Raw genomic sequence first — 25,338 nt, 5'->3', positions numbered from 1 at the left:
TGAGATAGAGTTTTGCTCTATCACCAAGGCTGGAGTACAGTGGTGTGATTATAGCTCACTATAACCTCAAACTCCTGGACTCAGGAGATCCTCTTGCTTCAGCCTCTTGAGTAGCTAGGACTACAGGCACATGCCACCATGCCCGGCTAGGTAAAAATTTTTGAAGGAGAAATAAAATACTTTACAGACAAGCAAATGCTGAGAGATTTTGTCACCACCAGGCCTGCCCTAAAAGAGTTCCTGAAGGAAGCACTAAACATGGAAAGGAACAACCGGTACTAGCCGCTGCAAAATCATGCCAAAATGTAAAGACCATCGAGACTAGGAAGAAACTGCATCAACTAACGAGCAAAATCAGCTCGTTATAATGACAGCTAACATCATAATGACAGGATCAAATTCACACATAACAATATTAACTTTAAATGTAAATGGACTAAATGCTCCAATTAAAAGACACAGGCTGGCAAATTGGATAGAGTCAAGACCCATCAGTGTGCTGTATTCAGGAAACCCATCTCACGTGCAGAGACACACATAGGCTCAAAATAAAAGGATGGAGGAAGATCTACCAAGCAAATGGAAAACAAAAAAAGGCAGGGGTTGCAATCCTAGTCTCTGATAAAACAGACTTTAAACCAACAAAGATCAAAAGAGACAAAGAAGGCCATTACATAATGGTAAAGGGATCAATTCAACAAGAATAGCTCACTATCCTAAATATATATGCACCCAATACAGGAGCACCCAGATTCATAAAGCAAGTCCTCAGTGACCTAGAAAGAGACTTAGACTCCCACACATTAATAATGGGAGACTTTAACACCCACTGTCAACATTAGACAGATCAACGAGACAGAAAGTTAACAAGGATACCCAGGAATTGAACTCAAGTCTGCACCAAGCGGACCTAATAGACATCTACAGAACTCTCCACCCCAAATCAACAGAATATACATTTTTTTTCAGCACCACACCACACGTATTCCAAAATTGACCACATAGTTGGAAGTAAAGCTCTCCTCAGCAAATGTAAAAGAACAGAAATTATAACAAACGATCTCTCAGGCCACAGTGCAATCAAACTAGAACTCAGGATTAAGAAACTCACTCAAAACCGCTCAACTACATGGAAACTGAACAACCTGCTCCTGAATGACTACTGCGTACATAACGAAATGAAGGCAGAAATAAAGATGTTCTTTGAAACCAACGAGAACAAAGACACAACATACCAGAATCTCTGGGACACATTCAAAACAGTGTGTAGAGGGAAATTTATAGCACTAAATGCCCACAAGAGAAAGCAGGAAAGATCCAAAATTGACACCCTAACATCACAATTAAAAGAACTAGAAAAGCAAGAGCAAACACATTCAAAAGCTAGCAGAAGGCAAGAAATAACTAAAATCAGAGCAGAACTGAAGGAAATAGAGACACAAAAAACCCTTCAAAAAATTAATGAATCCAGGAGCTGGTTTTTTGAAAGGATCAACAAAATTGATAAATCGCTAGCAAGACTAATAAAGAAAAAAAGAGAGAAGAATCAAATAGATGCAATAAAAAATGATAAAGGGGATATCACCACCGATCCCACAGAAATACAAACTACCATCAGAGAATACTACAAACAACTCTATGCCAATAAACTAGAAAATCTAGAAGAAATGGATAAATTCCTCGACACATACACTCTCCCAAGACTAAACCAGGAAGAAGTTGAATCTCTGAATAGACCAATAACAGGAGCTGAAATTGTGGCAATAATCAATAGCTTACCAACCAAAAAGAGTCCAAGACCAGATGGATTCACAGCCGAATTCTACCAGAGGTACAAGGAGGAACTGGTACCATTCCTTCTGAAACTATTCCAATCAATAGAAAAAGAGGGAATCCTCCCTAACTCATTTTATGAGGCCAGCATCATCCTGATACCAAAGCCGGGCAGAGACACAACCAAAAAAGAGAATTTTAGACCAATATCCTTGATGAACATTGATGCAAAAATCCTCAATAAAATACTGGCAAACCGAATCCAGCAGCACATCAAAAAGCTTACCCACCATGATCAAGTGGGCTTCATCCCTGGGATGCAAGGCTGGTTCAATATACACAAATCAATAAATGTAATCCAGCATATAAACAGAACCAAAGACAAAAACCACATGATTATCTCAATAGATGCAGAAAAGGCCTTTGACAAAATTCAACAACCCTTCATGCTAAAAACTCTCAATAAATTAGGTATTGATGGGACATATCTCAAAATAATAAGAGCTATCTATGACAAACGCACAGCCAAAATCATACTGAATGGGCAAAAACTGGAAGCATTCCCTTTGAAAACTGGCACAAGACAGGGATGCCCTCTCTCACCACTCCTATTCAACATAGTGTTGGAAGTTCTGGCCAGGGCAATTAGGCAGGAGAAGGAAATAAAGGGCATTCAGTTAGGAAAAGAGGAAGTCAAATTATCCCTGTTTGCAGACGACATGATTGTATATCTAGAAAACCCCATCGTCTCAGCCCAAAATCTCCTTAAGCTGATCAGCAACTTCAGCAAAGTCTCAGGATACAAAATCAATGTACAAAAATCACAAGCGTTCTTATACACCAATAACAGACAAACAGAGAGCTAAATCATGAGTGAACTCCCATTCACAATTGCTTCAAAGAGAATAAAATACCTAGGAATCCAACTTACAAGGGACATGAAGGACCTCTTCAAGGAGAACTACAAACCACTGCTCAATGAAATAAAAGAGGATACAAACAAATGGAAGAACATTCCATGCTCATGGGTAGGAAGAATCAATATCATGAAAATGGCCATACTGCCCAAGGTAATTTATAGATTCAATGCCATCCCCATCAAGCTACCAATGACTTTCTTCACAGAATTGGAAAAAACTACTTTAAAGTGCATATGGAACCAAAAAAGAGCCCGCATCACCAAGTCAATCCTAAGCCAAAAGAACAAAGCTGGAGGCATCATTCTACCTGACTTCAAACTATACTACAAGGCTACAGTAACCAAAACAGCATGGTACTGGTACCAAAACAGAGATATAGATCAATGGAACAGAACAGAGCCCTCAGAAATAACGCCGCATATCTACAACCATCTGATCTTTGACAAACCTGAGAAAAACAAGCAATGGGGAAAGGATTCCCTATTTAATAAATGGTGCTGGGAAAACTGGCTAGCCATAAGTAGAAAGCTGAAACTGGATCCCTTCCTTACACCTTATACAAAAATCAATTCATGATGGATTAAAGACTTAAACGTTAGACCTAAAACCATAAAAACCCTAGAAGAAAACCTAGGCATTACCATTCAGGACATAGGCATGGGCAAGGACTTCATGTCTAAAACACCAAAAGCAATGGCAACAAAAGCCAAAATTGACAAATGGGATCGAATTAAACTAAAGAGCTTCTGCACAGCAAAAGAAACTACCATCAGAGTGAACAGGCAACCTACAAAATGGGAGAAAATTTTCGCAACCTACTCATCTGACAAAGGGCTAATATCCAGAATCTACAATGAACTTACACAAATTTACAAGAAAAAAACAAACAATCCCATCACAAAGTGGGCGAAGGACATGAACAGACACTTCTCAAAAGAAGACATTTATGCAGCCAAAAAACACATGAAAAAATGCTCACCATCACTGGCCATCAGAGAAATGTAAATCAAAACCACAATGAGATACCAGAGATACCATCTCACACCAGTTAGAATGGCAATCATTAAAAAGTCAGGAAACAACAGGTGCTGGAGAGGATGTGGAGAAATAGGGACAGTTTTACACTGTTGGTGGGACTGTAAACTAGTTCAACCATTGTGGAAGTCAGTGTGGCGATTCCTCAGGGATCTAGAACTAGAAATACCATTTGACCCAGCCATCCCATTACTGGGTATATACCCAAAGGGCTATAAATCATGCTGCTATAAAGGCACATGCACACGTATGTTTATTGCAGCACTATTCACAATAGCAAAGACTTGGAACCAACCCAAATGTCCAACAATGATAGACTGGATTAAGAAAATGTGGCACATATACACCACAGAATACTATGCAGCCATAAAAAATGATGAGTTCATATCCTTTGTAGGGACATGGATGAAATTGGAAACCATCATTCTCAGTAAACTATCGCAAGAACAAAAAACCAAACACCACATGTTCTCACTCATAGGTGGGAATCGAACAATGAGAACACATGGACACAGGAAGGGGAACATCACACTCTGGGGACTGTTGTGGGGTGGGGGGAGGGATAGCATTGGGAGATATACCTAATGCTAGATGACGAGTTAGTGGGTGCAGTGCACCAGCATGGCACATGTATACATATGTAACTAACCTGCACATTGTGCACATGTACCCTAAAAGTTAAAGTATAATAATAATAATAAAAAAAATTTTTTTTAGAGATGGGACCTTGCTATGTTGTCCAGGCTGGTCTCAAACTCCTGACCTCAAACAATCATACTGCCTTGGCCTCCTAAAGCACTGGGAGTATAGGCATGCACCATCATGCCTGGCTCCCCTAATTTGTTGGGAGGATGTTTTTTAAAAATAATGAAAAGATTTTCAATTTTGTCAAATGCTTTTTCTGCATCTATTGAAATGATCATATGATTTTCATCCTTAATTCTGTTAATATGGTGTATCACATTTATTAATTTGCATATGTTGGACCATCCTTGCATTCCAGGACTAAATCTTACTTGATCATGGTATATGATTCTTTTTAATGTGCTCTTGAATTTGGCTTGCTGGTATTTTGCTGAGGGTTTTTGAAGCTATGTTCAGCAAAGATATTGACCTGTAATTTTTTTCCTATAGTGTCTTTATCTGGTTTTGGTATGAGGTAATTCTGGCCTCATAAAATGAGTTTTGGGAATATTCCCTCCTCTTCAATTTTTTTGGGAGAGTTTTAGAAAAATTGGCATTAATTCTTCTTTAAATGCTTGGCAGAATTCACATGTGAAGCCGTCTGGCACTAGGCTGTTTCTTTATTGGGACTTTTGCTGATGGATTCAATCTCTGTACTCAGTCTGTTCAGATTTTCTATTTCTTCATGATTCAGTCTTGTTTAGTTGTATGTTTCTAGGAATTTATCCATTTTTTCTAGGTTATCCAATTCATTGGCATATAATTGTTCATAGTCTCTTACAGTCCTCAGTATTTCTGTGGTATCAGTTGTAGTGTCTCTTCTTTTATTTATAATTTTATGTATTTGAGTCCTCTCAGTTTTTTCTTGGTTATTCTACTAATAGCTAAAGGTTTGTCAATTTTGTTTATCTTTACAAAAAATCACCTCTTAGTTTTGTTGATCTTTTCTATTATCTTTCTAGTCTCTGTTTCATTTATTTCTGCTCTCTAATCTTATTTCCTTCTTTGTGCTGATTTGGGGCATAGTTTGTTCTTTTTCTAGTTTTTTAAAGTGTAAAGTTAGGTTGTTTATTTGAGTTTTTTTTCCCTAATGTAGACATTTATTGCTACAAACTTCCCTCTTAGAACTGCTTTTGCTGCATTCCACACATTTGTATGTTGTGTTTCAATTTTCATTTGTCTCACTTATTGATTTCTGTTTTGATTTATTCTTGACCTATTGGCTATGTAGAATCCACATATTTCTGAAATTTCTAAAATTTCTCTTGTTAATGATATTTATTTATTTATTTATTTTGAGATAGGGTCTCACTCTGTCACCCAGGCTGGAGTGCAGTGGCTTGATCTTGGCTCACTGCAACTTCTGCCCCCCACGTTCAAGCAATTCTCCTGTCTCAGCCTCCCTAGTAGCTGGAATTAGAGGCATGTGCTGCCATGCCTGGCTAATTTTTATATTTTTAGTAGAGACAGGGTTTCGCCCTGCTGGCCAGGCTGGTATCAAACTCCTGACCTCAAGTGATCCACCCACCTCAGCCTCCCAAAGTGTTGGGATTACAGGCGTGAGCCACCGCTCCCAGCCTTGACATTTAGTTTCATATCTTTGTGGTCAGAAAATACATTTGATATAATTAAAATCTTCTTCTGAAATTTGTTAAGAACTGTTTTGTGATCCAATATATAATCTATCTTGGGTAATGTTCTGTGTGTGCTTGAGAATAATGTGTATTCTGCTGCTGTTGAATGGAATATTCTGTATTTGTCTGTTGGATCTATTTGGTCTGTTTGGTTTGTAGTATTATTCAAGACCACAGTTGCTTTATTGTTTTTCTGTGTGTATAATCTATCTACTATTGGCAGTGGGGTATTGAAGTTCCCTACTATTATTGTGTTGCTGTCTATTTTCCCCTCTATTTTGTTAATATTGCTTTATACAATTAAGTGCTCTAAATACTGGGGCACATACATACATAGATAGAAATAAAATATACATAATGTATATATTTTTCAATTGTTATACTCTCTTAATGAATTGGTCCCTTTATCATTATGTAGTGACCTTTGTCTCTTGAGGCAGTTTTTGAATGCAATTCTATTTTGTCTGATGTAAGTATAGCTACTTGTACTCTCTTTTGGTTACCATTTGCATGGAATATCTTTTTCCATTTCTTCACTTTTCAGCTTATGTGTGTCCTTAAGACTGAAATGAGTATCTTGTAGGTAGCATATTGTTGGATCTTGTTTTTAAATTTGTTCAGCCATTCTATTTGTTGATTGGAGAATTTAATTCATTTACATTTAGGGTAATTGTTGATAGGTAAGGACTTATTATTGCCATTTTGTTAATTGTTTTCTATTTTTTAGTTCCTTTTTTCCTGTCTTGCTGTCTTCCTTTGTGATTTGTTGATTTTTTTGTAATGGTATGCTTTCATTTCCTTTCTATTTATTTTTTGCAGGTCTAGTAGAGGTTTTTCTTTGTGGTTACTATGAGGTTTATATAAAATATTTTAAAGTTATAACATTCTATCTTAACCTAATAACAATTTAATTTCAATTTTATACAAAACTATACACTTTTGCTTCTCCCCCATCTCCACATTTTATGCTATGTCACACTTTACATCTTTTAATGTTATGTATCCATTAACAAATTATTGTAACTACAGTTATTTTTAATCTTTTTGTCTTTTACTTTATATTCTAGATTTCAAAGTGATTTATACACCATCATTATAATATATAGATTTGATGTTATACTTACCTTTACCAGTGAGTTTTATATTTTCATGTTCTCACATTGTTACTTAACATCCTTCTATTTCAACTTGAAGAACTTCTTATCCTTTTTCTTTTTTCTTTTCTTTCTTTCTTTCTTTCTTTCTTTCTTTTTTTTTTTTTTTTTGAGACAGAGTCTCACTCTGTCGGCTAGGCTGGAGTGCAGTGGCATGAACTCGGCTTACTGCAACCTCTGCCTCCTGGGCTCAAGCAATTCTCCTGCTTCAGCCTCCCGAGTAGCTGGGATTACAGGGTTGTGCCACCAAGCCCAGCTAATTTTTGTATTTTTAGTAGAGATGGGGTTTCACCATGTTGGCCAGGCTGGTCTTGAACTCCTGACCTCAGGTAATCCAACCGCCTCAGCCTCCCAAAGTGCTGGGATTACAGGCGTGAACCACCGTGCTTGGCCTCCTTTTTCTTTTTTCTTTTCATTCTATTTTTTTGTTGTTGTTTATTTTTTAAAGACAGCGTCTTGCTTTGTCACCCACACTGAAGTGCAGTGGTATAATCATAGCTCATTGCAGCCTTGACCTTCCAGCTCAAGCAATCTTTCCATCTCAGCCTCCTGAGTAGCTGGGATCACAGATGTGTACCACCACACCTGATTAATTTTTAATTTTTTGTGTAGAGGTGGAGTCTCCCTATGTTGCTAGCCTGGTCTTGAACTCCTGGGCTCAAGCAATCCTCCTGCCTCAGCCTCCCAAAGTGCTGTGATTACAGGTGTGAGTCACTGGGCCCAGCCTTGTAAGGCAGATTTGCGGTGATGAACTCCCTCAGCTTTTGTTTGTCTGTGAATGTCTTTATTTCTCCTTCATTTCTGAATTACAGCTTTGCTGGCAATAGTATTCTTGGTTGGCAGCTTTTTTTTTCTTTTAGCACTTTAAATCTTTCACCCACCCTCCCCTAGCCTATAGCTTTTTACTGAAAAGTCTACTGATATCCTTATGAGGGTTCTCTCATGCTGTGGTTTGAATGTGTCCCCACAAAAGCATGTGTTAGTAACTTAATCCCCAGTGCAACAGTGTTAAGAAGTGTGACCTTTGAGAGGTCATTAGGCTATGAGGACTCCACTTTCATGAATGGATTAATGCTGATTATGAAAGGGTTAGAGGCTTCTAGTTTGATCTCTTTTGCTCTCTTGCCATATGATGCCTTCTGCCATGTTAGGATGTAGCAGAACAACCTGCCCAGCTGCCAAAGCACCTTGATGTTGAAACTCCCAGCCTCTAGAACTGTGGTGGAAATAAATTTCTTTTCTTTATAAATTACCCAGTCTGTGGTATTCTGTTATAGCACACAAATGGACTAAAAGACTTTGTGATTAATCTCTTTTCTCTTATGCTTTCATGATTTTTTGTCTTAGGCGTTTGATAATTTGACTATACAATCAAGCCTTCAAATTTGTGATTTCTGCATCCATGGATTCAACCAACCACAGATTGAAAATATTAAAAAATAAATAAAATAATAATGCAACAATAAAAGCTAATACAAAAATACAATATAACAACCATTTACATAGCATTTACATTGTATTAGGTATCATAAGTAATCCTGAGATAATTTAAAGTATACGGAAAGTTGTGCATAGGTTACATGTGAATACTATGCATTTTATTTAAGGTATTTGAGCATTCATGGATTCTGGTATCTGTGGATGGTCTGGAACCAATCTTCCATGGAGACAGAAGGACCACTGTAGTGTGTCTCAGGATATTCTTCTTTTGGTTGCTCTTGCTTGGGATCCTTTAGGCATCAGGAATCATTAATTAAACTACATTTAATTAAACATTCTGCCTCTTTCTCTTTTTCTTCTTCTTTTGGAACTCCCATAATTCATAAATACATTACCTTGATGGTACCCCATAGATCTCTTATTTTTTATTTTTTAATTTTTTTAAGATGGAGTCTTACTCTGTCACCCAGGCTGCAGTGCAGTGGTGCAATCTTGGCTCACTGCAACCTCCACCTCCTGGGTTCAAGTGATTCTCCTACCTCAGCCTTCTGAGTAGCTGAGACTACAGGTGTGTGCCACCATGCCTGGCTAATACTTATATTTTTAGTAGAGATGGGGTTTCACTATGTTGGTCAGGCTGGTCTCGAACTCCTGACCTCAAGTGATCCACCTGCCTCGGCCTCCCAAAGTGCTGGAATTACAGATGTGAGCCACTGCACTAAGCCCCTTTATTCTTTTTACTTCTATTGTATTTTTATTTCTCTAGTGGCTAATTTCAAATGACCTATCACTGAGTTCACGGATATTTTTCTTCTATATGATCTCTTCTGCTGTTAAAATTTTTTATTAGGCTGGATGCAGTGGCTCATGCCTGTAATCCCAGCACTTTGGGAGGCTGAGGCGGGCAGATCACGAGGTCAGGAGATCAAGACCATCCTGGCTAACACGGTGAAGCCCCATCTCTACTAAAAATACAAAAATTAGCCTGGCGTGGTGGTGGGCACTGGTAGTCCCAGCTACTCACGAGGCTGAGGCAGGAGAATGGTGTGAACCTGGGAGGCGGAGCTTGCAGTGAGCCGAGATAGTGCCATGCATTCCGGCCTGGGTGAAAGAGCGAGACTCTGTCCAAAAAAAAAAAAAAATTTTATTGACTTTTCAGCTCTGTCATTGTGTTCTTCAGTTCCAGGACTTTTTATTGTTTTAATTTCTTTATTAAATGTCTAATTTTGTTCATGCATGATTTTGTTTAGTTGTCTATCTGTGTTCTCTTGCATCTCATTGAGCATCTTTAAGATGGTTGTTTTAAATTATTTGTCAGGCAATTCGTAGAGCTCCATTTTTGTGGGCTCAGCTACTGGAGCTTTATTAGTTTCCTTTGCTTGTGTCATGTTAGCCTGACACTTTGTTATCCATGCAGAATTTTCTGTAGAATTCTGTAAAAATTTCTCTAAAATTCTGTAGAATTTTCTACATACAAGCTTCATCTTTGAATAGAGAGAGTTTTATTTCTTCCTTTTTAATCTAGATGATTTTCATTTATTTTTCTTGTCTATTGACCTTGCTAGGCCTGCCAGTACAACGTTGAATCGAAGTGCTGAAAGCAGACATCCTTGACTTTTTCCTGATCTTAGGGTGAAAGCATCCATTCTTTCATTATTAAGTATGATTTTACCTGTGGGGATTTCATAGATGCCTTTTTATAAAGTTCAGGAAATTTCCTTCTATTCCTATTTTGTTGAATGTTTTATCATGAAAGGGCATTAGATCTTTTCACATGCTTTTTCTTCATCTATTGAGATAATTATGTCTTTTAAAATCCTATTAATGTGGTATATTATATTGATTGATTCTTGGATGTTATACTAAAGTTGCATTCCTAGGATAAAGTCCACTGGTCATGGTGTTGATAGTGTATAACCTTTTATATTTATTGTTGCATTCAGTTTGCTATTATTTTATTGAGAATGTCTACATCTAAATTCATTCTTAAGAAATACTGGTCTATATGTTATTATTATTATTATTATTTTTTGAGATGGAGTTTCACTCTTGTCACCCAGGCTGGAGTGCAATGGCATGATCTTGGCTCACTCCACCTCCCGGGTTCAAGTGATTCTCCTGCCTCAGCCTCCTGAGTAGCTGGGATTACAGGCACGTGCCACCATGCCCAGCAAATTTTTGCATTTTTAGTAGAGGTGGGGTTTCACCATATTGGTCAGGCTGGTCTTGAACTCCTGACCTCAGGTGATCCACCAGCCCTGGCCTCCCAAAGTGCTGGGATTATAGATGTGAGCCACCATGCCTGGCCTGGTCTATATTTTATTTCCTTTCATTTTTATTTTTTCCTTTCTGTTCCTCAGACTCAATAATTTTTTTTTTTTTTTTGAGACAGGTTCTGGCTCCATTGCCCAGGCTGGAGTACAGTGGCACAATCTCAGCTCACTGTAACCTCTACCTCTTGGACTTAAGTCATCCTCCCACCTCAGCTTCCCAAGTAGCTGGGACTACAGGAGCATCCCACCACGCCTGGCTAATTTTTTTATTTTTTGTGGAGACAGGGTTTCATCATGTTGCCTAGGCTGCTCTCAAACTCCTGGGCTCAAGTGATCCTCCTGCCTTGACCTCCCAAAGGGCTGGGATTATAGGTGTGAGCCACCATGCCCAGCTCACAGTTGCTTTGAAATGTCTGAATCCTTAAACTTCTGGCTCCCCAGTGGGAAAAAAGGGAAAAAAGAAATACAAACAAATAAGCAGGTGTGGTTCCTTTAAATCCCCTGAAAGCTGTGTCAGCCTGTGGCAGTTGAATCAATGGTGGCTAGCCTGTGTGCCTACACCTCAGTGATCAAAAGCAGCAATAAGTTACAGAACACTGATTCCTGTTACTTGGAGGAGAAGGTTGTGATTGCCCATTCTGGCTCCAGTAAGCTGCACCAGGAACATGGGCATAGTTGGCTGCCATGAGGCTAGGAGTAAGGGGTGTTTAAAGCTTAAATTGGTAGAAACTAACTAATCTACTAGCCAAGTTTTCTCCTTGAAGCTGTAAGGGTTCAAATAGACTCCAGACTCTAGTTACTTCAAACAGTTCCTGCCAATACAATTGTCATCTAGGTAAGGAGTTATATTCCTGGAATTTCCTACTCTGCCATCTTCCCTGACATAACTCCCTATATTTTTTATTTTTAAAGGATACTTGAGTTGCATATAGAATTCTTGGTTGACAGTCTTTTTCTTTCAGCACTTTAAATGTGTCACCCAACTGCCTTCAGACTCCATACTTTCTGATGAGAAGTCAGCTCATAATCTTATTGGGGATTCCGTGTATGTAATGCATTGCTTCCTTGTTGCTGCTTTGAAGAGTCTCTCTTTGTCATTGTCTTGCAACTCTTTGCTTATAAAATTTTGAAATGTGCATATTTTCAAGTTTATTTTATTTGGAATTCATTGATGTGTAGATTCATGTTTTTCATCAAATTTGAGACATGGTAGGCAATTATTTCTTTAGATATCTTTTCTTCCCCCTTTCTCTCCTCTTTGCACAGAACTTCCATTATATGTATGTTGACATACTTAATGGAGTCCCACAGGTTTTTGAGGCCCTGTTTATTTTTCATCATTATTTTACTTTTCTGTCTTCCAGAGTAGATAATCTCAAGTGACCTATCTTTAAGTTCACTGATTCTTCTGCCAGCTCATGTTTACTTCTGAGCTCCTCCTGTGAATTTTCATTTCAGTGTTTGTAATTTCCAACTCTAGATTTTCTATTTAAAAAAATCATTTCTCTTTGGTAATATTTTTATTTTGCGAGATGGCATTTTCATACTTTCCTTACTTCTGTAGACAGCATACTTTAGTTCCTCAAACACATTTAAAATAGCTTACTTAAATTGTTTGTCTAGTAAGTTCAACTTCTGGGCTTCCTAGTGGCAGTTTCTTTTGACTTTTTTTCCCTGTTTTCCCACCCTTGGTACAGGCCATATTTTTTTGTTTCTTTGCATGTTACATAATTTTTTTAACAGAAACAGTTTAAATACTATATGTTGTAAGTATGGGAATCACATTCTCACCTTCCTCAGGTTTTGTTATTGTTTTGTTTTGTTATTGTTGCTATTTGTTGTTGCTGCTGCTGTTTGTTTGGTTAGTGACTTTTCTAAACTAACTCTGTAAGCCTCTTCTTTGTCATATATGGCCATGAAATCTCTGCTTGTTAGCTTTAGTGCTCAGCTAATAATTAGAGATTTTCTTAAGTGCCTTAAATCAACAAATTTTCCAGCCTGTGCTAAGGAGCTCTGTTTGTTGGGGCATGTCTACAACACTTCAGTTTGCCCTAGCATTCTTAGTTTTCATTTCTGACATGCATAGACATGTCAGAAGGCTAGCTGGAGGTGAGAGATTAGGGTCTTCTCAGGTCTTTCCTAAATATACATACAGTTCCAACATCTATGTCATATCTGAGTCTAGTACTGATTATTGCTTTTTCTTAGACTGTGTTTTTTTTTTTTGCCTTGTGATTTGCCTTGTAATTTTTGTTGAAAGTTAGACATTCTCCATTTCTGTTACTGTATCAGGAGATAACTAATATAAATATTTTCTATGCTTGGAGAAAAACACAGGCTTCCTTCTGCTTGGTGGTTATTACGGAGATTTGTGATACTCTAATCGGGAGTGGGCTGTGCTTTAATTTGTTGTTGTAGCTACCAGAGTTGAATTTTTTTGTGGCTATGGGCACCAGAGATTTAAAAGTCTGTCAGTAATACCTTGTTTTTGCCTCCTCCACTTGGCTTTTGGTCTTCTCTTTGTGCTGTTATCCTGGAGAACTTTGTAGCTCTTGCAGCTGAATGTGATACTATACCACTTCACGTTTAGGATAAAAAACTTATGACATATTTCTTTTTTCTTTCTTTTTCTTTTTCTTTTTTTTCAATTAGCTTTCTCAGGTTGAAAACAACATATTTCCCAGGCGCAGTGGCTCACGCCTGTAATCCCAGCACTTTGGGAGGCCGAAGCAGTGGATCACCTGAGGTCAGCCTGGCCAACCTGGTGAAACCCCGTCTCTACTAAAATACAAAAAATTAGCCGGGCATGGTGGTGGGCACCTGTAATCCCAGCTACTCGGGAGGTTGAAGCAGAAGAATTGCTTGAACCCGGGAGGCGGAGGTTGCAGTGAGCCGAGATTGTGCCATTGCACTCCAGCCTGGGCAACAAGAGCGAAACTCTGTCTCAAAAAAAAAACACAAAAACAAACAAACAAAAAACGCAAAAAAAACCCCAACCACACACACACACACACACACACACACACACACACACACACACACACACACACACAATGTATTTATATTTCTCTCTCTCCCGATCTTTGTGCTACTGTCATACATCTTCTTGCATACGTGTTACAAACCTCACTGTACATTGTTATTTTTGTTTAAATAGTCAATTCAATTATCTTTCAAAGATATTTACATAAAAGAAAAGTATCTTACATATTTCCCGTGCAGTTGTCTTTCCCAGCACTCTTCATTTCTTTATGTAAATCCAGATTTACGTCTGGTTTAGTGTTCCTTCTGTCTGAATGACTTTAACTTTTTTATAGTGCAGATCTGCTGGTGATAGTCTTTCATCTTATGCATGCCTGAAAAAAATCTGTATTTTGCCTTCATTTTTGAAATAAAATTCTAGAAGTTTTTTTCTTCTAGCACTTAAAAAATGGTGCTTATCTGTCTTCCTGCTTGTACAGCTTCTGATGAGAAATCTACTGTCATCCTTATCTTTATTCTTCTGTACTTACTTTATCACTGGTTTTAAGCAAGTTGATTAAGTTGTGCTTTGGTTTAGTTTTACACACACACACACACACACACACACACACATACTTGTTATATATATATATATATACACACACACATATATATACTTTTTTTTTCGATGGAGTCTCTCTCTGTTGTCCAAGCTGGAGTGCAGTGGCGCGATCTTGGCACACTGCAACCTCCGCCTCCCGGGTTTAAGCAATTCTCCTGCTTCAGCCTCCCAAGTAGCTGGAACTACAGGTGCATGCCACCACATCCAGCTAGTTTTCATGTTTTTAATAGAGACAGACTTTCACCATGTTGGCCAGGCTGTTCTCAAACGCTTGACCTCAGGTGATCTGCCCACGTCAGCCTCCCAATGTGCTGGGATTACAGGCGTGAGCCACCACTCCTGGCCTGGTTTAGTTTTCTTCATGTTTCTTTCTTTGGTGTTCATTGAGCTTACTAGATTTGTGGGCTTATAGTTTTTATCAAATTAAAAACGTTTGAACATTATTTCTTTAAATATTTTTGTCCAAATACTCACACATTAGGACACAGCTCACTGATGTTCTCTCTCTCTCTCTCTTTTTTTCTTTTAACACTCTCTGTTTCATTTTGAATTTTTTTTTTCTTTTTTGAGATGCAGTTTCCCTCTTGTTGCCCAGGCTGGAGTGCAACGGCGCAATCTCGGCTCACCGCAACCTCTGCCTCCTGGGTTCAAGCAATTCTCCTGACTCAGCCTCCCGAGTAGCTGGGGTTACAGGCATGCACCACCATGCCTGGCTAATTTTTGTGTTGGTCAGGCTGGTCTGGAACTCCCAGCCTCAGGTGATCTGCCCTCCTCGGCCTCCCAAAGTGCTGGGATTACAGGCATGGGCCACTGCGCCCGGTCAAATTTTTTTTAATTGTTAGGTTTTCAAGTTTACTAATCTTTTCTTCCACAAAGTTTAATATGTTACTAATCCCGTGAGTGTGTTTCTGACATACATGGTAGTTTTCATTTTTAGAAGTTTGATTTGGGTCATTTTTCATCTTAGATATCTCTCCTGAACTTTTTGAATATATATGTATATGTATAACTTAAAGTTATAATGACTGTTTTAATGCCCTTGCCTGTGCATTTAACATCTGTGTCAGTTTGGAGAGGATAAGATTAATTGATGATTCCCCTCATAATCAGTTGTATTTTCATGCTTCTTGCATGTTGGGTATTCTTTGATTGGATACTGGACATAGTGACTTTTACCTTGTTGGCTGTTTGATATTTTCATATTCTCATAAATATTCTTGAGCTTTGTTTGGGGATGCATTTAAATTACTTGGAAACTGTTTGATCTTTTCAGATCTTGCTTTTAAGATTTTTTAAGCAGGACAATTCTCAGTCTAGGCCTAATTATTCCCCATTGCTGAGGCAAGACCTTCCTGGATACTCTACCCAGTGCTCTGTGAATCTTGAGTTTCTTTGTCCAACTAATGGAAGCAGGCTCTATTCTTGGCCCTGTGTGAGCACCAGGCATTGTTACTTCTAATTCTTTTCAGTGGTTATTTCTCTAGCTTCAGGTCGTTTCCTCACAGACATGCACTGACCAATACTCAGTTTAATACTCAAGGGGGAGTATTTGTGTTGCTATAAAGGAATACCTGAGGCTGGATAATTTATAAGAAAAAGAGGTTTATTTGGCTCATGGTTCTCTAGGCTGTAAAGAAGCATGGTGCCAGCATCTGCTTCTCATGAGAGCTTCATGCTTCTTTTTCTCATGGCAGAAGGCAAAAGGGAGCTAGTATGTAGAGATCATATGGCAAGAGAGGAAGCAAGAGAGGGGACATGGATGTGCCAGGCTCTTTTTAACAACCGGCTCTCTTGGCAACTAATATAGTGAGAACTCACTCACTCCTCCTCTTCCAGGAAGGGTATTAATCTATTCATGAGAGATCCACCCCTATGACCCTGACACATACCATTAGGCCCCACTTCCAACACTGGGGATCAAATTTCAACATGAGATGTGGAGGGGACAAACATCCAAACTACAGCAGGGAGCCTCTGCAGATCTTTGTGTTCTTTCTTTGTGCCACTCTCCTCTGCAGTATTTTATCAGCACAGCCGCTTCCATGTTCCTGGCCTCTCAGCAATACCTGCTCACATCCAGGAGCCTGCTGGATTCTGCCTACGTTCTCCTTCTCTGTACTGTGGCCTGGAAATTCTCTCAAGTCATAAACCTGAGGCAGTCACAGGGCTTACACCATTTGTTTCCCATCTATTAGGGATTCTATTTTTTTTGGTGGGTGTCCAGTATCTTAAAAACTATTGTTTCAGATGTTTGTCCATTTTTGGTTGTTTCAGGTGGGAAGGTCAGTCTTTTTATATTCCACGGCTAGAAGGAGAAGTCAGCATTTAATAACTTACTTTCTTTCTTTCTTTCTTTCTTTCTTTCTTTTTCTGTCTTTCTTTCTTTCTCTTTCTTTTCTTTCTTTCTCTCTCTCTTTTCTTTTTCTTTTCTTTTCTTCTTTTTTTTTTTTTCCGGGTCTTGCTCTGTTACCCAGGCTGGAGTGCAGTGGTACAATCATACCTTACTATAACCTCAACCTCCTAGGCTCAAGTGATCCTCTTGCCTCAGCCTCCTGAGTAGCTAGGACTACAGGCATGCACTACTATCCTCAGCTAATTTATTTTATTTGATTCAGAGACAGGGTCTCACTATGTTGCCTAGGCTGGTCTCAAACTCCTGGGCTCAAGCAATCCTGCCTCAGCTGCCCAAAGTGTTGGGATTACAGGCATGAGCCACAGTGCCCAGCCAATATTCCTTTATAATTAAAAATATCTATCATAGGTAATTTAAAAATATCTCTTTAAGTTGCTTTCCCTTTTTCATTCTGTATTTGCTTTTTTTCTTTTATTTTAATCTTACTAGAATGTTGTTTAATTTATTAGGCTTTTCAAATAACAAAATTCTGATGGTGCTAATTCTCTCCACAATTTTTTCTCTATTTTATTGATTTCCTTTTTTTTAAGAGAGAGGGTGTCACTCTATCACCCAGGCTGAAGTGCAGCAGCCTGATCATAGCTCACTGTATCCTTGAACTCCTGGGCACAAACGATTCTCCTGTCTCATCCTCCCAAGTAGCTGGGACTATAGGTGCACGCCACCACACCTGCTGGTTTTTTTATTTCTAGTAGAGACAGGGTCTTACTATGTTGCCAGGATAGTCTTGAACTCCTGGGCTCAAGCAATTCTCCGACCTCAGCCTCCCAAAGTGTTGGGATTACAGGCCTGAGACATTGTGCCTGGCTACTTTATTGATTTCTGCCTCCTTTTTCCATTATTTTCTCCTTCGTCGCAAATTCTTTCTTTGAGTTTACTCCATTGATCCTTTTCACTTTCTGAGTTGGATGTTTATCTCATTTGCTATCAGTCTTTCTTTTCTGATCTTGTCAAAGCTGTAAATTACTTTCTGGGACTGGTCTATCTGCATCACATATGCTTTGATATGTAGTGTTTTCATTGGCAGTCACCTCTAAATGTTCATTATTTCCCTCATGATTTTCTTTTTATAGAAGAACCACTTAGAAGGGTTTTGTTTTTGTTTCAGAAAGATGGGATTTTTTGATATGTTAAAAATTGATTTTAATATTATTGACTTGTGACTCAAGAACAGAATCTATATACCAATCATTCCCTGGAGTTTGTTGTTCTCTGTGGCATCGTTTCTGAATGTTCCCTTAGTGGTCATTGAGCAAGTGTTCTCTGTTGGTAGTTGTAAAATTTATTATATAGCTAAGGTGAAGATTATTAATAGTCAAATCTTCTTTATCTTTGCTTAATTTTGTCTGTGTAATCCAGCAGTTTCTTAAGGGTAACATATCAAAAACTCCAGTCTCCCATTAATTGGTCACCTGTTTCTTTGAGTATTATAGGCTTTTTTCTGCATCTTCTTGGTCATTTCTTATTTATACTTTATATAATAAGATTCCTTTTTGTCCCTTTATCATGATCTTGCCTTAAATACTATGATCTAAGAAGAAAATTGCTATACTACTTACTTTGTGTTTCAGATTTGCTTGGGATTTCTTTTTCTATCCCCCTTTTTCAATTTATCTGTATCTTTTTGTTTTAAATTTGTCTCTCCATATAGTATATTTCTGGATGATATCTTTTTTCTCTAATTGTAAAGTATTTGTTTTGTTTGTTTTTTTCCAACACATTTACATGTAACACAATTGCTATTGTATTAGGATTGATTAGAGCCATCTTGTTTTGTGTTTTCTATTTATCATACTTTGTTCTGTTTTGTTTTGTTTTAAAGAGATGGCATTTCAATATGTTGTCCAGGCTGTACGCAAACCCCGGGGCTGCAGTGATCCTTCAGCCGCAGCCTTCGGAGTAGCTGGAACCCCAGGCTGCAGGAAAGCAGGCTCTTTCTGTTTTGCTTGAAACCTTCCACTGGGTAGACTGTATTTTTTGCTGCTTTGAAGGGTATCCAGTGATTAGATTACACTCAACTTGGGCCGGGTGCGGTGGCTCACCCCTATAGTCCCAGCACTTTGGGAGGCCGAGGCGGGAGGATCACGTGAGGTCAGGAGTTTGAGACCAGCCTGGGCAACATGGTGAAACCCCGTCTCTACTAAAAATATAAAAATTAGCCGCTCGTGGTGGCCCGCGCTTGGGATCCCAGCTACTTGGGAGGCTGAGGCAGGTGAATTGCTTGAACCTGGGAGGTGGAGGCTGCAGTGAGCTGAGATCATGCCACTGCACTCCAGCCTGGGCGAAAGAGTGAAACTCCATAGAAAAAAAAAATTACACTCAACTGGATAATCCAGGAAAATCTCTATCTTAAGGTTCACAGGACGAATTACATATTGAAAGCCACTTCCTTCACAGCACTACCCGGATTAGTTTTTGCTGAGTGACCGGGGCTCGCGAGAGCCGCCTCAGGTCTCCGCCGGCACACTGGGGTCCCGCCAACACCACGACCAGGGCGGAGCCGCCGCGAGGGGGCACCACGAGGCGTGCTGACGGTGCCCATGGCGTCCCAGGACGGCCTCCGCAGGGGCCGTGGAGGCACACGCCTGAGCCTCCACCTCCTGATCTGGCTTCAGTTCCTTCAACCCCTGCTCAGTGAGGCTGGGAGTGGACAGGGCGGGGCTGGGCTGCACCCACGTTGGGTGTGGGGTGGCAGTGGGGGCGCTGTGGGAACAGGCAGACGCGGAGGAGGCGCCGCCAGGCCAGCTCCTGTTCGCCGCGGGTCCCCGTCTTCACCAGGTGAGCCATACCGACCCGAGGAGGATTCCAGAATGACCCCGGCAAGCCCAGAAGCCCGGACGTCTCCTGTGCACCCGAAATTCCCCAAAATTCCAGAAACTTCTGTAGCTCCAGGGTCTCCAGCGACCGCAGGGCCTCCAGGATCCTGGGTTACTTCAGCATCTACAGTGGGAGAAGCCTTGGAATCCGACGGAATCTCTGACCTTGGAAGGCAGTTTTCTCAGGGTATTGTTTCTGGTGCTAGATCTGTCCTGGCCTGCGGGGTAGGTCAAAGGGGACACAGCCTGGCTCAGGGAGGTTGAGGGTCAGACCCTGACCTAGATGATTTGAGAGAGAGGATAGATAACCCGCCTCCGCCCTGGGCAGCCTGGTGGGGTGGTGGGAAGGTAGTGGCTTCACTTCCAGTCCCCTCTCTTTACTGAGCCCACCAGCCTGTGGCCACCGTGTTTCAAGGATGATTGGAGGATTGCCAGCCCCAAACAAGAAGTGGCCCTGGCAGGTGAGCCTGCAGACCAGCAACATACACCACTGCGGAGGCTCCCTCATCGACAGGCGCTGGGTGCTCACTGCCGCCCACTGTGTCTTTAGGTGAGTGTTTGGGGCTCAGAGCTTGGGCCCTGATCAGGCTGTGGGACCTGGAGCCAGTCTGTCCCCTTCCCTGAGCTTCCTCTTCCTCATCTGTAAAAGGGGGTGACAGCCCCATAGTTTTTATCCAGTCTGGGTGAGACCTGAGTATTTGCATTTCTAACAAGTTTCCGGGTGTTGCCGCCGCCGCCGATCTGGGGACCACTGGCTAAAGTGGTCAGGGGTCCTGAGGGGATGTGGTTGGGAGGGAGGGAGGTGGCTGCTGGCTGGCATAGGAAGATGGGACCAGGCTTGGAAGCACCTGGAAGGTGTGGAAGGGGAGCATAGACGTCCCCCCAGGATCTCTGTGAAGGCCATCTTTTCTCTCAACAGTAATTTGGAATACAAGGTGAAGCTGGGAGACCCTGACTTGCATGCTGGTTCCAAAGAGGCACTGGTGATCCCAGTTTGAGACATCATTTTTCCTAGCAATTTTGATTTTGCCACTTTGACAAGCGACATTGCCCTTGCTCTGCTCGCCTACTCTGTGAATTATTCCTCACATATCCAGCCTGCGTGCCTCCCCGAAAAGCTTTTTGAAGTGGAAGCTGGGACAGAGTGCTGGGTGACTGGATGGGGCCAAGTGTCAGAGAGTGGTGAGACAGGCAGGATGCTGAGGTGGGACAGTCTGGTGGGCTGGGCTTGGCCTGCAAGCTATTGGGAGAGGCAGGGAGGCCATTTTCTAGCAGGTGGGTGAGGGAGGAGGGTGGAGAAGATGCTGCCAGGAAGTAATTTAACAACTATGTTATGAATTTCTGTCGTCATATTGGGACCTTGGGGCTTGGGGGCCAAGTGTAGTGGGTTCTCTTCAGGGTAAATTTCAGCTCAGGGTGATGAGCTGTCTGCCAATAGGAGCCAACCCCCACTAGAAGGACCTGCCTTGATGGGTTGAACTTCTTCACCCTAGCAGTGTAGGCCAAGCCAGAGCAACCCTGCCAGTGAGGCTGTGGGGACTCCTATCCTTAGGGAGAGGCACTACCTGTCTAAGAGTCTGTGATCCTGCTCTAGAAAGTAAAGATGCTTTACTGATGCACAGGACAGCCTGTCATTTCTGCTGATACTCAGAGTGACAGATACTTGGTTGCCATTTTTCAGGCTGACAAGGCCTTGCCTCTCCCTCTCCTGATCTGTTTTTCCTTTTACTGTCTTGATTTTGCTTCTTGTCCTTTCCTTTCTCCATGTCAACATTAAGCTCGAGTTTCCTTCTATGTCAAGTGGTGACATTGTCCACTGCCCTGACTTCCTTTAATTTGGGCAGTTGTGTTAAACACACCAATCAGGACTCAGAGTGGGCACTGGGGGCTCCTGTTCTATCCCTTTGTGAAGATCCACTCTCTTGTAAATTGTGTCTTTGCAGTTTCAGGACCAATGCCACTTGTTCTTCAGGAGACTGAGCTAAACATTATGCGTCATGAGAAATGTTGTGAGATGCTCAAGAACAAGAATATATCCAAGAGTAAAATGGTCACGAGGGGGACCGTCTGTGGCTATAATGACCAAGGGAAGGATGCCTGTCAGGTCAGTTCATGGGCGTCTTGCTGCCTCAGCATTGCAATTGTCTCCTCAAAGCTTCCTCATTCCCAGCCAGTAGGGCCTGGGTTATCTCCTAGCCCCTCTGTTTACCCTTATTCATGGTAATGGGATGTGAGGACAAGCCACCAAGGCTCTCCTGGGCAGCCTACCTGATCCTTCAGGAGAGAGCAACTGACACAGCCTGGAGTGGGAGGAGGGGTGAATCAGGCAGGTCCCACCAACAATACATGCTCCATGTTTTGAGACCCTTCTGTGTGACAGGCAGTGTACTCAGGTTAGCACTTGACTCATTATTGTCTCAGAGTAGGCACGATTTCATTAGGTATATTCCGTTTTTTGGAACACGCCTTTTTAGTAGGTACATGATTTTGGTTTATTGGAAATTGTCAATTCTCAGATCTCATATTGACAGATACCTAAGGCTAGGAGGGTCTTAGGGGTTCCTGGGGAAGCCCCCTGAGTGCCTAGCTCTGTAGCGCATTGCAGTGCAATTAGCCTGCTCTGATGTGGATCCTATTTCTTTCCTACAGTGACTGTCTTTCTTTTTCCAGGGAGATTCTGGGGGGCCCCTGGTCTGTGAATTAAATGGCACATGGGTCCAGGTGGGGATTGTGAGCTGGGGCATTGGCTGCGGTCGCAAAGGATACCCTGGAGTTTACACAGAAGTTAGTTTCTACAAGAAATGGATTATTGATCACCTGAGACAAGCTTCCTGTTTGAATTCAAAGACTTCCTCATCCTAGTCCTGTGTCTGGTGATGCCCCTGGGCATCCTGGTGACCTCGTGATCAGACCCCATTCCACTCTTCTGCTGTTTCTGAGTCTCACACTTAGGTGTCTCCTCTGACCAACTTCCCACTCCTTCTCAATGCCCTTTCCGCAAATCCCAGTTGGAATCCACGGGCCCTCTGGAGATCCGTACAATAGAGCATGGCAGGGAGACTGGGGCCTGGAAAGTGCCCCTGCCTGGTGCTCTGGTCTAGAGGGCCAGCTGCTCTGCCAGGTGGGCCACGGTGACTCGTCAATATCTGGAGGAACATCTATCAAAGAAGAGACATCATCAACGGTGAAGCAAGCGTTAGATGTGGTTCTGGTTTCAGGGCTCTCACCTGAGACTTTGTGAAACCAGCCAGCTGGGTGATTGCTCACAGAGAGTGAAGGAGGCGTTACCAGGTCCCTGCAGACGTGTGAGGCCTGGGACTTCCACTCTGGCTCAGTTGTCTGGGGCTGGGAGAAGTTCCCCTGCAGCCCAGTGTGGATCCATCTGTGAGTGGACAGCCTCTGCCACACTAGTTCTTTTGGAGCAACCCATTCTTGGCACCCCCTTCCTCAGTGCCCTAGTGGCCACTTTCAGGGACACCACAAGTTGTGTTGAGGCAGTTATGAAGTGTGGAGTTTTCATAAATCAACTGAATAAATGTTTGGAGAGTCTCCTGTTTCTGAAGCTCTGCTCACTGGCGAGTTTGGTTGAATATAACATACTCTATAGAGAACTGGCTTCCCATTTAACTAAGGAAGCTATTTGTGGTTCTTATTAAAATGTAGAAGGACAGGTGAGGCCCTGCTTCCTCAGACATGAGCTCTAGGGATGATTTGAGCCAATGGGTCTTGTTCCCTGTATGCCTGTTATAGCCATCAGCATCTCTGCAGGGAGCTCTGTAGTTGAGCTTAACAGTCTCTACAGTTAGGGATAGGGGATCAAGAGACACTGGAAGTAGGCCCAGGAGTGAAGTTCGGGTGTGAGAAACATTCCTCCTCATCTACTGCTTCTCCTTGCTGCTCCCTCCCACTTGGTTACCAAAGATAGGCGTTCCCACCGGGAGAAGGGCAAGAGAGATTCACTGTAGTATACATAGGTTCTCTCCCCTCATTACAAAGTCTGGTGTCCTGGAGTCTCTCTGTCTAGCTACTGATCAACCCCCTCCCAGCCTCTTGCCCTTTGCCCTTCTAGGGTTGAATGTTTAACCCCCAGGTATGGGTGGGCTTCAGTGGACAGTCTGTATCAGTCCCTTCTGTTGCCTGAGGAAGGCTGAGGCCAAGAGACTGAGAGCTTACATCAAACCCAGTCTCTTAATGAATATAGCACTACCTGCTTTAAGAAACCACTGATTTATTCATAGATTAATAAAACAAATTTAACTTTTTTTCCCTAGAACATCCCATTACAGCGTTCTTGGTCAGCAGGTAGCTTTCTCCATCTCGTGGCTTGCTCTCAGTCCTGTAGTTAATGCTTTACCTGCATCAGAATCCCCTAAGGCTTGTGAAATACAGATTACTGGCCTGCACAGTGGCTTATCCCTATAATCCCAGCTACTTGGGAGACTGAGGCAGGAGGATCCCTTGAGGCCAGGAGCATGTAGCATGTCTCTTAAAAAAAATTAGCTGGGCATGGTGGCCTGTGCCTGTAGTCCCAGCTACTCTGGAGGCTGAGCAGGAAGAAGTCTTGAGCCCAGGAGTTTGAGGCTGCAGAGATATATGATCATGCCACTGCCCTCCAGCCTGGGGGACTGGAGGAAACCTCATCTCTTAAAACAAAATTACAGATTGCTGGTTCCTGGTTCCACCCCTGGAGTTTTCAATCCTGTAGGTCTGGGACGGGGCCTACATTCTCTGTCTTTCAGGTAGAAAGACCTTAAAAGAATGTACGTTTCTAACAAGAATGTACATTTACCTGAAAGACCTAAAGAATGTACATTTCTAAGTTCCTGGCTCATGCTAATACTGCTGGTCTGGAGACCTCACTTTGAGAAGCAATGCTCTGCATTAACAAGAATAGAAAAGGCAACCTCCTGTTGACTGCCTTGGCATGGAAGTGGCACACATCACCTCTATTCATGTGGACCCACTTAGGTGCCAGGCTGGGGAGGGAATGTGGCTCCAAGTCCAGCTGATCACTTCCCAATCTCTGCCATGCCTAGCAGATCCAAAGACAGCATCCTTCTGCAAAAAATCCCTGTGGAAGCCCAAGGCCTGGCACAAGCCACCATTCCTTTTAGCTGCCACGATCTTACTGGTTGTCTGTGGAAGAGGACACATGTCTTTCCTTTGTCTGGTCTCCCCCAAGAGTCCTTGTTTTACAGTAGTCTTAGATCCAGCTCAAATATCACTTTTTCAAAGACATCTTCTCTGATTCCATAGCCTTACAGTTCTTTTCCTTTTTTTGTGCTTTCTCCATCTTTCCAGATTCTCAAACCAAGAGTAATTGTGAAACTCTCCAGTGCGCTGGGACCAGGGAACCAAGGGTGTAGTCAGAGGCTGGGCAACAGGATGCCATTAGTAGTCCAGGGATGCGGTGCACCTTCATCGGCCAGGTTCTCTGGGCATTGTCACCAACTTAAAACCCTTGGGGGTGCTTTCATGGGGCCCGCCACCCTGGGAGCAATCACAGACTCAGGACTCCCAGGTCGTCCTCAAGAACAGGCAGGAGATAGAGGTGAGGGAAATGCGCCAGTTTTGCGGGGAGCTGTCGGGAGTTCCCGGCGCCATCACGTGCTA

General features: G+C 41.8%; 1 pseudogene across 1 annotated transcript; it reads left to right on the top strand.

Moving 5' to 3' along the window:
* The first annotated feature begins 19,461 nt into the window (after positions 1–19,461).
* On the top strand, positions 19,462–23,274 carry PRSS43P (serine protease 43, pseudogene; annotated as a pseudogene). Its single transcript, NR_160552.1, has 6 exons — positions 19,462–19,543; positions 19,688–19,912; positions 20,119–20,275; positions 20,645–20,907; positions 21,669–21,829; positions 22,396–23,274. The product of NR_160552.1 is annotated as a serine protease 43, pseudogene (transcript).
* The last annotated feature ends 2,064 nt before the right edge of the window (positions 23,275–25,338 follow it).

Source organism: Homo sapiens, chromosome 3, assembly GCF_000001405.40.
Source record: "Homo sapiens chromosome 3, GRCh38.p14 Primary Assembly".
Classification (NCBI taxonomy): domain Eukaryota; kingdom Metazoa; phylum Chordata; class Mammalia; order Primates; family Hominidae; genus Homo; species Homo sapiens.
The sequence above is the reverse complement of the archived record's forward strand: the minus strand, read 5'-3'. Positions and strand labels throughout refer to the sequence as shown.